This window comes from Homo sapiens, chromosome 5 (genome assembly GCF_000001405.40).
Source record: "Homo sapiens chromosome 5, GRCh38.p14 Primary Assembly".
NCBI lineage: Eukaryota > Metazoa > Chordata > Mammalia > Primates > Hominidae > Homo > Homo sapiens.
Window position 1 is genome coordinate 37,143,359 of NC_000005.10, and position 14,194 is coordinate 37,157,552.

General features: G+C 38.9%; 1 protein-coding gene across 49 annotated transcripts in view, besides 1 other annotated feature; it reads right to left on the bottom strand.

Moving 5' to 3' along the window:
- The window catches only part of CPLANE1 (ciliogenesis and planar polarity effector complex subunit 1), a 173,708-nt gene that overhangs the window by 67,690 nt on the left and 91,824 nt on the right, over positions 1-14,194 (bottom strand). For 32 of the 49 annotated variants that reach the window (XM_047417568.1, XM_047417561.1, XM_047417562.1 and 29 more), the window contains 3 exons: positions 13,955-14,062; positions 10,382-10,635; positions 4,823-4,910 (listed from right to left, as the gene is read on the bottom strand). In XM_047417568.1, the coding sequence (XP_047273524.1) occupies positions 4,823-4,910; positions 10,382-10,635; positions 13,955-14,062 (450 nt within the window). The remainder of the gene's footprint in view (positions 1-4,822; positions 4,911-10,381; positions 10,636-13,954; positions 14,063-14,194) is intronic. The other 17 variants (XM_047417575.1, XM_047417572.1, XM_047417573.1 and 14 more) reach the window with 1 other exon arrangement.
- Positions 9,347-9,529: a silencer, noted in NCBI's record as "fragment chr5:37152807-37152989 (GRCh37/hg19 assembly coordinates)". NCBI's record gives its function as "represses an EF-1alpha promoter that drives an FKBP-Casp9 reporter gene in an ReSE screen in K562 erythroleukemia cells {active_cell/tissue: K562}" and the evidence as "EXISTENCE:reporter gene assay evidence [ECO:0000049][PMID:32094911]".

Sequence of the window (14,194 nt, forward strand, 5' to 3'; positions counted from 1 at the left end):
AAAAGGTTAGTCATAAAACATGACTGAAATTATGAAACAGATAAAGCATAGGAACAGCAATAAAAAAACAGGACACAACATCCAAAGAGCAGATAGATTTGAAAAAGAAATAAATACAACTTCTAGATATTAAATGTAGCCACCAAAATTAAAATCATAATGAATAGCTAAAACAGCAAAGACACAGCAAAAAAGAGAATTAGTAAACTAGAAGACAGATATGAGGAAATCATCCTGAGTGAACCACTGATAAAGGGAGGAAATTATGCAGAAGAGGCTGAATGAGATAAGGAGGCCAGGCACAGTGGTTCACACCTGTAATCCCAGCACTTTGGGAGGCCAAGGTGGGCTGATCACCTGAGGTCAGGAGTTCGAGAACAGCCTGACCAAAATGGAGAAACCCTGTCTCTACTAAAAACACAAAAAATTTGCCAGTGGTGGTGGCACACGCCTGTAATCACAGCTACTTGGAAGGCTGAGACAGGAGAATCACTTGAACCTGCGAGGCAGGGGATGTGGTGAGCCAAGATTGTGCCATTGCACTCCAGCCTGGACAACAAGAGCAAAACTCTGTCTCGAAAAAAAAAAAAAAAAGATATAAGGAACAGAGTGAGGAGGTCCAACATGCCTCTATTAGGTGTTTTAGAGAGAAAAGAAAAAATGGGGAGGAAGCAGTACTTCAAAATATTATGGGTGAAAAGTCCCCAAAGTTAAATCTTAAAACTAAAGAATCATTCCTACTCCAATATAAGGTAAATAAAAGAAATACGGTCAGGCACGGTGGCTCACGCTTGTAATCCCAGCACTTTGGGAGGCCAAGGTGGGCGGATCATGAGATCAGGAGATTGAGACCATCCTGGTTAACACGGTGAAAACCCGTCTCTACTAAAAATACAAAAAATTAGCCCAGCATGGTGGCAGGTGCCTGTAGTCCCAGCTACTCAGGAAGGTGAGGCAGAGAATTGCTTGAACCCTGGAGGAGGAGGCTGCAGTGAGCCGAGATCGCACCACTGCACTCCAACAGAGTGAGACTTTGTCTAAAAAAAAAAAAAAAAAAAAAAGAAGTGGATGCAAGAAGCAACTGTGGGCAACAATAGCAGAGAAGAGAAAATACCAGAGAGCATCTCAGGCAATAAAAGGTATCATGAAACTTGTTTTGGTTTTATACATTTGTTGCCTACATATTTACATTATTTAAATTAGAAATTTTAGGCCGGGCACGGTGGCTCATGCCTGTAATCCCAGCACTTTGGGAGGCCGAGGCAGGCGGATCACGAGGTCAGGAGATCAAGACCATCCTGGCTAACACAGGGAAACCAAGTCTCTACTAAAAATACAAAAAATTAGCCGGGCGCGGTGGCGGGCACCTGTAGTCCCAGCTACTCAGGAGACTGAGGCAGGAGAATGGCATGAACCCAGGAGGCGGAGTTTGCAGTGAGCCAAGATAGCACCACTGCACTCCAGCCTGGGTGACAGAGCGAGACTCTGTCTCAAAAAAAAAAAAAAAAAATTAGAAATTTTAAAATGAAGTAATTGTTGGCAAAGAAAATGCCAAACGTTGAGAAATCTTAACTAAGTGCTGACTTAAAAAATAAAAGGCAAGGGGAACTAAATGGGAGGGTTAAAAACAGAGTAGATCTAAAATATTTGAAAACAGTTATCAGAGGCCGGGCGTGGTGGCTCACGCCTGTAATCCCAGCACTTTGGAAGGCTGAGGCAGGCAGATCACAAGGTCAAGAGACTGAGACCATCCTGGCCAACATGGTGAAACCCCATCTCTACTAAAAATACAAAAAATTAGCTGGGTGTGGTGGTGTGCACCTGTAGTCCCAGTTACTTGGGGGGCTGAGGCAGGAGAATTGCTTGAATCTGGGAGGCAGTGGTTGCAGTGAGCTGAGATCACACCACTGCACTCTCCAGACTGGGCCACAGTGTGAGACTCCATCTCAAAAACAAACAAACAAAAAAACAGTATCAGAGAAGATGGAGGGAACAAATCAGCGCTAAAAAGGTCTAAAGTCCTTCTATTGTTTGGGAGGTAGATATATTCACCTTAATTTAAAATGAAAAAAATTTTAAGAGACGGTGTCTCACTATGTTGCTCAGGCTGGAGTGCAGTGGCTATTCACAGGTGTGATGATAGCATACTACAACCTTTAATTCTTGGGCTCAAGTGATCCTCCCACCTCAGCCTCCCAAATAGCTGGGACTACAGGTATGCACCACCATGTCCAAATTCACCTTAAATTTTAACTCACCTATGAATGTTAAAAATTCAAGAATAACCACTAAAAACTAAAAATCTAATGTATAATTTCTGAACCAATACAGCAGGAAAGAGAGAATACAGAAAACTCCATCCAATAAAAGGCAAAAAAGAGGGACAAAAGTAAAGGAAATAAATGGCAAAAAAACCACCATGAAATAAGATATTAGAAATAAGCACAAATATATCAGTAAATACAATAAATGAACAGTGATTATGCTTGCTGGTTAAAAAAGACTGTCTAATTATTTAAAGGAATGAAATCTAGGTACATGCTGGACACAAATACAACATAATCAAACAGCCTGAAAGTAAAGGGATATCTAATTTACAAGAAATACAGAGGAGAAAACAACACATTAAATGACATCACAGAGACTCAATTAGCAAAACTCAGACTCTGAAAAACACTTCAGAACAACTATCTTGTTTCTTCAACAAAGAAAACTTCAAGGAAGAAAAAGGAGAGAAGGAACCCAGAAGTTAAGAGACTTATAAGCCATCAACCAATGGCCACTTATAGATCTTAGCTGGGTTCCAACTGTAATAATTAAAAAGCTTTTTTTTTTTTCGAGACGGAGTCTCGCTCTGTTGCCCAGGCTGGAGTGCAGTGGCATGATCTCGACTCACTGCAAGCTCCGCCTCCTGAGTTCAAGCAATTCTCCTGCCTCAGCCTCCTAAGTAGCTGGGACTACAGGCACCCGCCACCACACCAGGCTAATTTTTGTATTTTTAGTAGAGACAGGGTTTCACCATATTGGCCAGGCTGGTTTCGAACTCCTGATCTTGTGATCCACCTGCCTCAGCCTCCCAAAGTGCTGGGATTACAGGTGTGAGCCACCACGCCCGGCCTAAAAGACTATTTTTTGAAACGAGACAATTGGCAACATTTGAACTCTGATTAGATATATAAGTATATTAAGAATTTTTTAAAGGAGTGTCAATATTATTGTGCTTATGTTTTAAAAATGGACCTGATCTTTTAGAGATACATACAAAATATTTATACATAAAATAATGTGCTGTCTGGGTTTCGTTTCAAAATAATCAAGAAAAAGGTGGGAAGAGTGGGTGGGTGTATAGGTAAAAAAGGGATTGGCCATGAGTTGATAATGATTAAAGTTTGTTGTTGAGTATATGAAAGTTAATTGTATGATTCTGCCTTCTATTAAAATAGTGTAGAAATTTTACATAAAATTTTAAAAAATAAAGCATATCAAAAAGATATACCAGAACACAGGGGTAGTAATGTTCATATTAAACAAAATTGACTATAAGTCAAAAAGGATTATTAGGGATAAAGAGGGTTATTACTTAATGATAAAAGAGACAAAATCCAACAAGAAATATAACAATCCTGAACTATATTCACCTTATAGCCTTAAGATGAATGTAACAGATTTACAAGGAGAAATAATTCCACAATCATTATGGGTAATTTTTAATGCAACCTTCTAAGAAATGAACGGATCAAGCTGACTAATCAGAAAAAATACAAAAAATCTGGACAACACAATTTAGAAGCTTGACCAAAGGGAGATATATACACATACACTACATACAACCAACAGAAAATGTTTGGCCTCTTCAAATAAATGTGGAACATAATGTAAAAACTGACTATCCTCAGCCACAAGGGAAATTTTAACAAATATCTAAGGATTGATATCATCATACACATCAGCTAATCAAAATGCAATGAAAATGGAAATCAACCACAAAAACATAGCCCAATATTAGAATGCTTAATATTTAGAAGCTAAAAACTCCTTTTACAAGCTAAAGAAATCATAATGCGAACTACAAACTATGTAGACCTGAACACCACCAGATGATGATGAGTATCAACATTCTTGTCTAGGTCCATGCAGAAACATATTCAGCCTCAATTACACATATTAGAAAATAAGAAAAAATAAAGTTAGAAAAAAGCCAACAAGTTAATGCCCCCAAAATAGAAGAAATAATAAAGATTAATGAAAAAGGAAACTGAGAAACAAAGAGAATTAACAAACACTGGTTTTTGAAAAGACTAAACTGACAAGACTGAATGAGAAAGAGAACACAGGTATGAACCACAGACACAGCAGAAGGTAAAAACAACTATTCTAATTTCATTCTTTCAATAAAAAATGAAAAAACTTAATACCTCACCACTGCCTGGCCATTTTACCAGAACCTCAAATTCCAGCTCAGCTGATGATCACAGACAAACAGCAACCTCAGCACAAAGCTCTGTGCAATCCTCAGCACTATGAGGCCAATGGCTTGGAATCCACAAAAACTGAGCTCCAGGCCACACTTGCCCCATCCTAGTATAAAATCCAGAGGAGGTTACTGCCTTCTCAAAAAAAAAAAAAAAAAAAAAAAAAAAGGCCGTGAGGTGGAAGCTAATCACATTACAAAAAAATAATCCTAATCTAAAAACTGGGAAGCTTATGACTTCAGCTCACATAATGAAAACTACTCCTACTTCTGGCACTCCACAAAACAATGCACATTCTTTCAGATCAACTAAAGCAAGACTTCAGCCAGCCCCTATCAGCCCCTACAAACCTTCTTCAGAAATGCTAATGGTTTTTGAAGCTAATGTTTTTTTGAATTCAGGGCCAGAAGAGAATTCAATGTGATCCACTGGTCCAATCTGTAGAAAAAACACACACAACAAAACAACAGTAATACTTTGATAATTTCAAAATAACAAACAGTTTTATGTAAGTTTTAAACACTTGCATTAATGCAAAAGTGAAAAAAATGGGATTAAATCCAATATAAGCTAAATGGTAGGGATCAATAAAACAGAGGAAATTTTTACTTATTTGTAGCTTAACTGAGTTATAAACTTTTAAAAGGCTCAGGAAAATTGTATCATAAAATTTTAGAATGAAGAACCTTAATTACTATCTAGACAAATTCGTATTAAAGATGAGAGAACAAAGCCCAGAGAGATTCAATGACTTTTTTAGTGGCATAACACGGTCAACCCAGGTCTTCAAGACTATTTACCACTCAGTGTCTGCCCAGAGTATCCCTGGGCCTCTTCCAGGACTATAAGCTGTTTTCTTAAGTTAGGCAAGTGAAGATGTTTGTATTTATGTGTACATTATAATAATGTGAGAGCATTTTTTAAAAATATACCAAACCTGCTGGGCCCAGTGGCTCACACCTGTAATCCCAGCACTTTGGGAGGGTGAAGCAAGCAGATCACTTGAGGTCAGGAGTTCGAGACCAGCCTGTCCAACATGGCAAAATCCCGTCTCTACTAAAAATACAAAAATTAGGTGGGCATGGTGGCAGGTGCCTGTAATCCCAGCTACTCAGGAGGCAAAGGCAGGAGAATTGCTTCAACCTGGGAGGCAGAGATTGCAGTGAGCCAAGATTGAGCCACTGCACTCCAGCCTGGATGACACAGTGAGACTCCATCTCAAAACTAAATTAAATAAATAAGCAAATTGTGGTGTGTGTGTGTGTGTATACAAAATTAACATTATTTCCTTCAAAGTGGTCATTTTAGAAGACTAAATATCTTCCTTTTCCCTGGGAGATATGTTCCAAGACGCCCAGTGGATGCCTGAAACGGTGGGGGTAGTACCGAACCTTATATATAGTTGTCCCTCAGTATCTATGAGGGATTGGCTCCTGACATCAAAATCCACAGACTCAAGTCCCTTATATAAAATGGTGCAGTATTTGCATACAACCTATAGACATTCTTCCCATATACTTTAATCTCTAGATTACTTATAATATCTAATACAATGTAAATGTTAACTATTAATAGTTGTTATGACGTATTGTTCAGGAATGACAAGAACAAATCTGCACATGTTCAGTACAGATGCAACCATCCTTTTTTGTTTTTATTAAATATTTTCAATCCACATTTGGTTGAACTGTCAGATGCAGAACCCATGGATATAGAGGGCCGACTGTATACTATGTTTTTTTCTATGCGTACATACCTATGATAAAGCTTAATTTATCAATTAGGCACAGTAAGAGATTAGTAATAGCTAAGAATAAAATGCAACGATTATAACAATATACTGTAATCAAAGTTATATGAATGTGTTTTTTTTCTGTCTCTCAAAATATCTTCTTATACTGTACAGAAGGTAACAGAAACCTCGGAAAACAAAACTGCAAATAAGAGGGGACTACTGTACGTAAGGGCTTTGAGCAAATGCTTTTGGAACTCTTCCTTTGAAATTGTCTCCCAACCTTGTACCACAATTATAAATAACTGTTCTACTGGTGAATCTTTAGTATATAAATGTGATTTTATTAGTGCCAGAATCAAAACTAAGATAGCAAAGACAACCATTGAACAAATATTTATTAAATGCCCACCATGTGTAGCAAAAGACATTGTCCCTACCTTCGAGTCTTAAAAGGCTTGAGAGAGGAGCCCTATCAGAATTTTTGAGAGCCTTTTCAAAATGCCAAGTCACCTCCACCTCCCCAACAGATTCAGCAGGGATAGAATGTATACTCTGAAAAAGCATCTGAGTGATCTTGACATGCACAGGAGTCCAAATGCTTAATGGACTCAGACATGTGGAAACTCCCTCCTCCAACTCCTGCTTTGGCTGGCTTTCTCCTGAGTCTCTTATGACTTCAGACTGTTCTCAAGTCTTGTTGAATACTCATCCTTACAAGGCAGTGTTTCCACAAGATTCTTTACCCTCTTCTTTTCTCCTCCATGTGCTCTCCCTGAGGAGCACCTATGCTATCATGATTTGAACTTCCCCCTAACTGATTACTCCAAAATCTGTACCTTCAGCCCAGTTGTAGCTCCTCAGCTGCTTTTGAGGAACTGCCTACTTATCTCACAGCACCTCAAATTTATCATGTCCCTGATAGAAATCATTGTGCCTCCCTCCCCCAACACACACGCGCGCACACACACACACACACAACTCCTCCTCTTCCTTAGTTTGGAAAATGGCTCCACCATTCACCCAGGCTGGAATCTGGACACCACTGTGAATCTCTGTTGTCTTCTTCACCTTCCCACAGCTTATCAATCTCTAAGTCCTGTTAATGCCTTCCCTCCATTCTTACTGCTCAAATTCAGGCATATGGTTATTTCCTGCCATGGATATTTAGTGGATCTCAAACACTTATCAGTGGACCTGGTATAGAGCTAGCAGCATAAGAATCATTTGTGAAGCTTGTTAATAACACAGATTCCAGGGCTCTAACCAGACCTACTTAAAATCAGAATTTCAGGGAAATGGGGCCCAGGAATTTGCATTCTTAACAAGTTTCCTATATGATTCTAATGGGCAGCCATTAGATTTGGAACCACTGTGACCCATGTGGTCTCCTTGTTCCCAGGCTTATCCTTTCCAATCTACCTTCCACACTACTGTCTGCATATCTGATAATATCCCTTCACTGTTTAAAATTCTTCAGTGGTTTCCTACTGCCTGCTTATAGGAGAAAATCCCAATCGCTTGACATGGTAAATGCTTTCTGTTCCTCCTTGTCTCCCCTCTCCTACCTCTACTGCCAGATGTCTTAAAGTCCAATCCCACTAACTTCTACCTCTAAGTAATGCTCATACAGCTCCCCAAACACTCTATGCCATTTGGTACCTTTCTCCTTTGCTCACAATATTTTGTCAGCCTTTCTTTAATTAACTGATGAATACCAATTCATTACCAGCTCGAGTCACCTCCACAAAGCCTCCTCTGATGCCACAGCTTCACTTACCCCGTCCAGTCACAACATGTCAGGCATATCTATGTGCCTCATTAGACCCAGTATGTATGTATTCATTGGTATATACATCTATCTTCTTTTATTAGATTTTACACTCCTTGAGAGTAGGTACTATGCCTTATTTATCTTTCTATTCCTAGAATTTAGCACAGGGCCTAATAGGCAGTAGTTGCTCAATAAATGTTTGTTGAAGGAATTAATTATTCATGAACTCCTGTGAGAGTGAGCAAGCCAGGATCAAGACTAGATTCGGGTATAAATCAAATATCTGGCTGTAGATAATGACTACTAAACTAGCTCAAAAGGCAATTTCAAAAGAGATTCTTTGAAGTAAGGAGTTCCAACAACTGCTTTGATGCTGTACATTTATTTGGATGTGACAGATCTAAATCTGGGTTTAAAAAAACAGAAAGCAGGCCAGGTGCAGTGGCTCACACCTGTAATCCCAGTACTTTGGGAGGCTGAGGTGGGAGGATCACTTGGGCCCAGGAGTTGGAGACTGGCCTGGGCAACATGGTGAAACCCCAAATCTACCAAAAAAAAAAAGAGGAAAACCACCAAATAAGCATCATAGTATCATTACTTAGTATTAATATTTTTAGCAGTAGTCCTGCCTCATAACCTTTCAGTATAGTTTCACATATGCTTAATCTTTATTTTTAAATGTGTTAAATGTTTGGATTAAAGGTGTACTATAAACCTAATAAATACATTTTTTAAATGTCAACATGCTAGCAACCTGGAATTTTTGTAAGGTAAGTCAATAATGGAATTCTTATCCTGCAGACTATTTTGCATTTCCCAATATTAGACTTTAAGACATTTAACTTTGTTTTTTTTTAAGAGGCAGGGTCTTGCTCTGACACCCAGGCTACAGTGCAGTGGCACAATAATAGCTTACTGCAGCCTTGAACTCGTGAGCGCAAGTGATCCTTCCACCTCAGCCTCCCAAGTAGCTAGGACTACAGGTGCACACCACCATACCCGACTTATTATTATTTTTATGGAGATGAGGTCTCGCTACGTTGCCTGGGCTGATCTCAAACTCCTGGCCTCGAGTACCCAACCATGGTCTCATTTAACCTATTATGTGTAACATAATATTTGTTCTTTAATCCTTTTGATATAAATTGTTCTTCCTTTAAAAAAAAGGACAAAATGTGTAAAATAATTTTTGAGACTTCCTATTTTATTTAACTACCATTATATATATAAACATTAATTTATTTTTTATGTCTACCTTTTATAGAAAACTAGGCTGGTGTGGTGGCTCACATCTACAATCCCAACACTTTTGGAGGCCAAGGCAAGGCTGTTTGAGGCCAAGAATTCAAGGCTAGTTCAAGCAAAATAGGGAGAACTCGTCTCCACAAAAAAATTTTAAAAACTTAGCTGAGAGTGGTGGTGCACACCTATAGTCCCAGGTACTCAGGAGGCTGAGGTGGGAGGATTGCTTGAACCTGAGAGGTTGAGGCTGCAGTGAGCCATGATCACATCACTGCACTCCAGCCTGGATAACAGAGCAAGACTATGACTCAAGAATAAAAAGAAAAAAAGATATGAAAAATTTCTAAGGAACTGATTACTAACTCTCTTATATAAAATATTTAAAAGAAACTGACAAAAACTCCAAATAGAAGGACAATAATATTTGTAAAATTATAAAATCTTTCAGAGAAAAATGATAATTACAAGTGGGGTTCCTTTAAAATCACATTCTAGTTTTGTAATTCATGTATTTCTTTTCTTGGTAGGAAGCATGGGTTTACTTCCTTTTTGTATGGGAGGACCCTAGACAAAGCTTTATTTAGAGCAGAAGATCAGCTGAATAGCCCTATATCTACAGAAGAAACTAAATTTATACTTTAAAATGTCCCAACAAACAAAACTTTAAGCATCTTCAGGGAAGATGGCTTCACTGAATTCTACCAAACATTTAAGGAAGAAATAGTACCAATCCTATAAAAAATTTTCCAAAATATAGAAGAGAGGGTAATATTTTCCAACTCATTTTATGATAATAGCATTATACATGGGTTTACTTCTTAAAAGCTTAAGGTAATTGTTCTCAACTGAGGGTGATTTTGGCTCCCAGGAACATTTGGCATTATCTAGAGACATTTTTGACTGTTACAACTAGGGAGCAGTGCCACTGGAAACCAGTGGGTAAAGACCAGGGATGCTGCCAAATATCCTACAACGCATGGGACAGTCCCCCACAACAAAGAATTAACTGGCTCAAATGTCAATAGTGCTGAGGTTGACAAACCCTAGCTTAAAGAAAACAAAGTTCTCATTATTTTGAAAAATCAGGTATCCAAAGTTATATCACACTACAAATCTAATAATTCAGTAGCAAACAAAAAACTAAAAATAAAGGTAGTCTACCTTATCACAATGTAGATCTAGCATTTCAGGCTTGGGGAAATCCTGTTCTATGTTTTCAGCAATGTTCTGTATTGCTAGCAACTGCTCGTCAATTTTCTGAAGCTTAGCACTGAGATGCTCTAGTTGGTGAGCTGCAGAGCTTGGTGCAGGGCAAGCTGCAGAGACACCTTGCAGCCGTTTCCACAATAGATAATCTTCTGCAGAGTCTGACTTTGTGCTCTGTCCTTTGAATCGGAACTCTGGTTTTGGCAGACCTAAATATTAATAAGAATAAAAGCAGAATTGATTATAATTAAAGAAGAGGTATTATTGATGATCTCATTTTTTGATGACTTCATTTTAAACCAACACAACACTACTTTCCAAATCAGTTTTAATTAAATATACCTAAAAATTCCTTTTCAGCTTCTTGATTTCTGGGATAAGAATACATAAATTACTACAACAAAGTTCCACAAACAAGGAAGTCTGAATATTACTTTCATCCCTTGCTACAAACATATACTTCATCAAAAAGCAACTTTAATATTTTTATGACTTTTTCAAATTCTACTTGAAAACCAAAAACATCACACGTTAAAAGCTATCCCCAATATTGGCTATTACTGACTTTATATGAGATCTCAGGCAAACATTAAACCTCCTAAAACCAAAATCAAAGCCAATGACTCTTCTTATTCTTAAACTCAGTTGATTCTTCTCCCAAATTTGCAATAGTTCTTTTTTTTTTTTTTTTTTTTTTTTAAGAGATAGAGCCTTGCTTTGTCACCCAGGCTGGTCTGAACTCCTGGGCTCAAGCAATCCTCCCACCTCAGTCTCCCAAAGTGCTGGATTACAGGCATGAGCCACTGCGCCTGGTCTGCAACACCTTTTTTAAATGCACTCTTTTTCTGATGTTGGGGTCTCCTCCTCACTGTATTGCTCATACTTCTTCTTCTGCCATCCATTCCTTTTACCCATAAGTACTTCCTGGGCTGCCAGCCTCAACTCACTTCTCTACTCACTCTTCCCACTTTCTCTGAGTTATGTCATTGATGAAAGATCCCAAATCTATATGGCACTCTTTCTTAGCTCCAGCTCCTTATATCCTGAACATCCCAGTTAGGTTGTCCCATAAGCATATAAAAATGAATTCACTGCTTCTGCCCCTCCAAATTGCTCCCTCTTCCTTGTTCCGCAGCTCAGCAAATAGCACCACCGTTCAGTTTCACAAGCCAGAGACCAGAAAGTCACTCGAGGCTCCTCTCTTTCCTTCAGATCCAAAGTGACAACAAGTATTGATGATTCTACCTGCTAAACACCTACATTCTTAATACCACTACTTGGCTGAAGCTTTCACAATAAATAGACCCCAAATGATATCCCTATCTGTAATTTATCTCTAGCCTATCTAGTCCATCTTCCACACCAGGCCCAGAGAGATCTTTTAAAAACAGAAATCATGTTCCTTTTCTGTCCAAAACTCTTCAGTGTGTCTCCAATACCTTCACCTTAAAAGTCCAAATGCCTCCATATGACAGACAATGGCACACATAATCTTCCCTCTCTCTACCTCTCCAGCTTCATCTCTTGCTATTTCTTTAAACGAACAAACAAAATACTACTCCATTTGACTCCAAACATAATGAACTTTAATTTTCTTTTCTTTTCTTTGAGACATGGTCTTGCTCTAGCACCCAGGCTGGAGTGCAGTGGTGAGATCTTGGTTTACTGCAACCTCTGCCTCCTGGACTCAAGCAATCCTCCCGCCTCAGCCTCTTGAGTAGCTGGGACTACAGGTGTGTGCCACAACACCTGGCTAATTATTCTATTTCTTATAGAGACAGGGTCTCACTATGTTGCCAAGGCCGGTGTCAAACTCCTGAGCTCAAGAAATCCACCCGCCTTAGCCTCCCAAAGTGTTGGGATTATAGGCGTGAGCCACCACACCCAGCCAAACTTTAATTTTCTCAAACTAAGCAAGTTCCATTAACTTACTGCAAAATCTATTCTCTCTGTCTGATAAATGAAATTAATCTGTAGCTTATGGTCATTTGAAATGCTGGCCTAACATACTCAGGGGTCACAGAGAGAAAAGTAAAACGTATCTAAGCTATTAAATGACAGAGCTGGGATTCAAATCCAGGTCTGTTCTATGTGAATCTAAAAGCCAGGCTCCTTTCACTTTCCCACATACTTCCCCTGTCTGAAAGATTGCTAGCTTCATACATCCTCCATCCACCACTCATGCATCTTAGCAGCCCCATGACAGAAGAGAGAAGATGAAGGCTTTAAAATCTGAAATGCTGGCACTTGTTTGTATATGCAGCTGTTAATACACATGCCCTAACACATCCTAAACCATCCCTTCCTTGCTCCTCATGTCTCCTGAGTGCCCACTGTCATTATACAATAATCAGGCAGAGCTAGACTCTGTGCCCAAGCATCTTGCAACCACAGGGCTGACTAGGTCCATACCTCACAACCACTGTGGAACCTAGGGGAGACTTAGGTTTCTGTTGCAGGAAGTCTGATTGCATATTGGATTAATCTAACCAGTCACAGGATGTAGTAGCTTCAGGTTGTGGAGGGATATTCTTCTAGGCTGGGTGTGGTGGCTCATGCCTATAATCCCAGTACTTTGGGAGGCTGAGGTGGAATGATCACTTCAGACCAGGAGTTTAAGACCAACCTGGGCAACATAGTGAGACCCTGTCTCTATGAAAAATTTTAAAAATTAGCTAGGCATGGTGGTGTGTGCTTGTAATCCTAGCTACTTAGGAGGCTGAGGCAGGAGGATCCCTTGAGCCCAGGAGTTCAAGGCTACAGTGAACTATGATCACACCACTGTACCCCAGCCTGAACAGCTCAGCAAGACTCTGTCTCTAAAAAACAACACACACATATATATGTATTTTATTAAAAATTTTAAATATATATAGTCTTCTAAATCTTGCAAAAAGTTACCATAATGCAACTTGACTATAAAACTGAATATTTATAAGTACTATTGAATTGCATACACCTGGCCATAAAGATGGAAACAACAGACACTGAGGACTACAAGACAGAGAAGGAGGGAGGAAGGTAAGGGATGAGAAACTACCTATTGGGTACTATGCTCATTACCTGGGTGATGCGTCCAATCATACCTCAAACCTTAGCATCATGCAATATACCTATGTAACAAACTTGTACATGTGTCCCGAATTTGAAATAAAAGTTGGGAAAAAAAGTACTGTTGGCTACCATGCCTGTTTATTTTTGGTGTGCTATTTGAGAATTTCCCACCTTTTACAATATGAGAATTGCTTTCTAACATCAAAACACTCATGAACTCACAAAGAATATTTATTTTTAGCCCTATTAATTGAGAAAAGACATATGCATAAACAGATCTGTGACTTCTTACAAAATATCCATGGTTCCCAGCTTTGGAATCATGTCTCTATTTCATTTACCTACTTGCCCCCATGCTCCTTAGCAAGGGACAACCCTTTTTCTGGTTTCTTTTGCAATTACCAAATTTTGGTGCTTGTTTCCAATACAACAGTAATTCAGGAGAGGGTCATGCTATACCTCTTGGCTGTTTACCTTTGTTCTGCTGTATGTCTGATGGTGTAGGTGAGGTGACACTAGGCTCCTTCACTTCTGTAATGCCTGCTCTCAAGCTTTTTCCATCCAGACAAGCTGGAGTTACTTCTGCAGGTTTAGAAAATAAATCCATAGAGGAATTGGCTGATTCTATCAAGACTATGAAAAGCATTCAAAGACTGATTCTAAACTTCTAAATAAGGTAATCCGAAGATTAACAGAACATTTCTGTGCATGTAA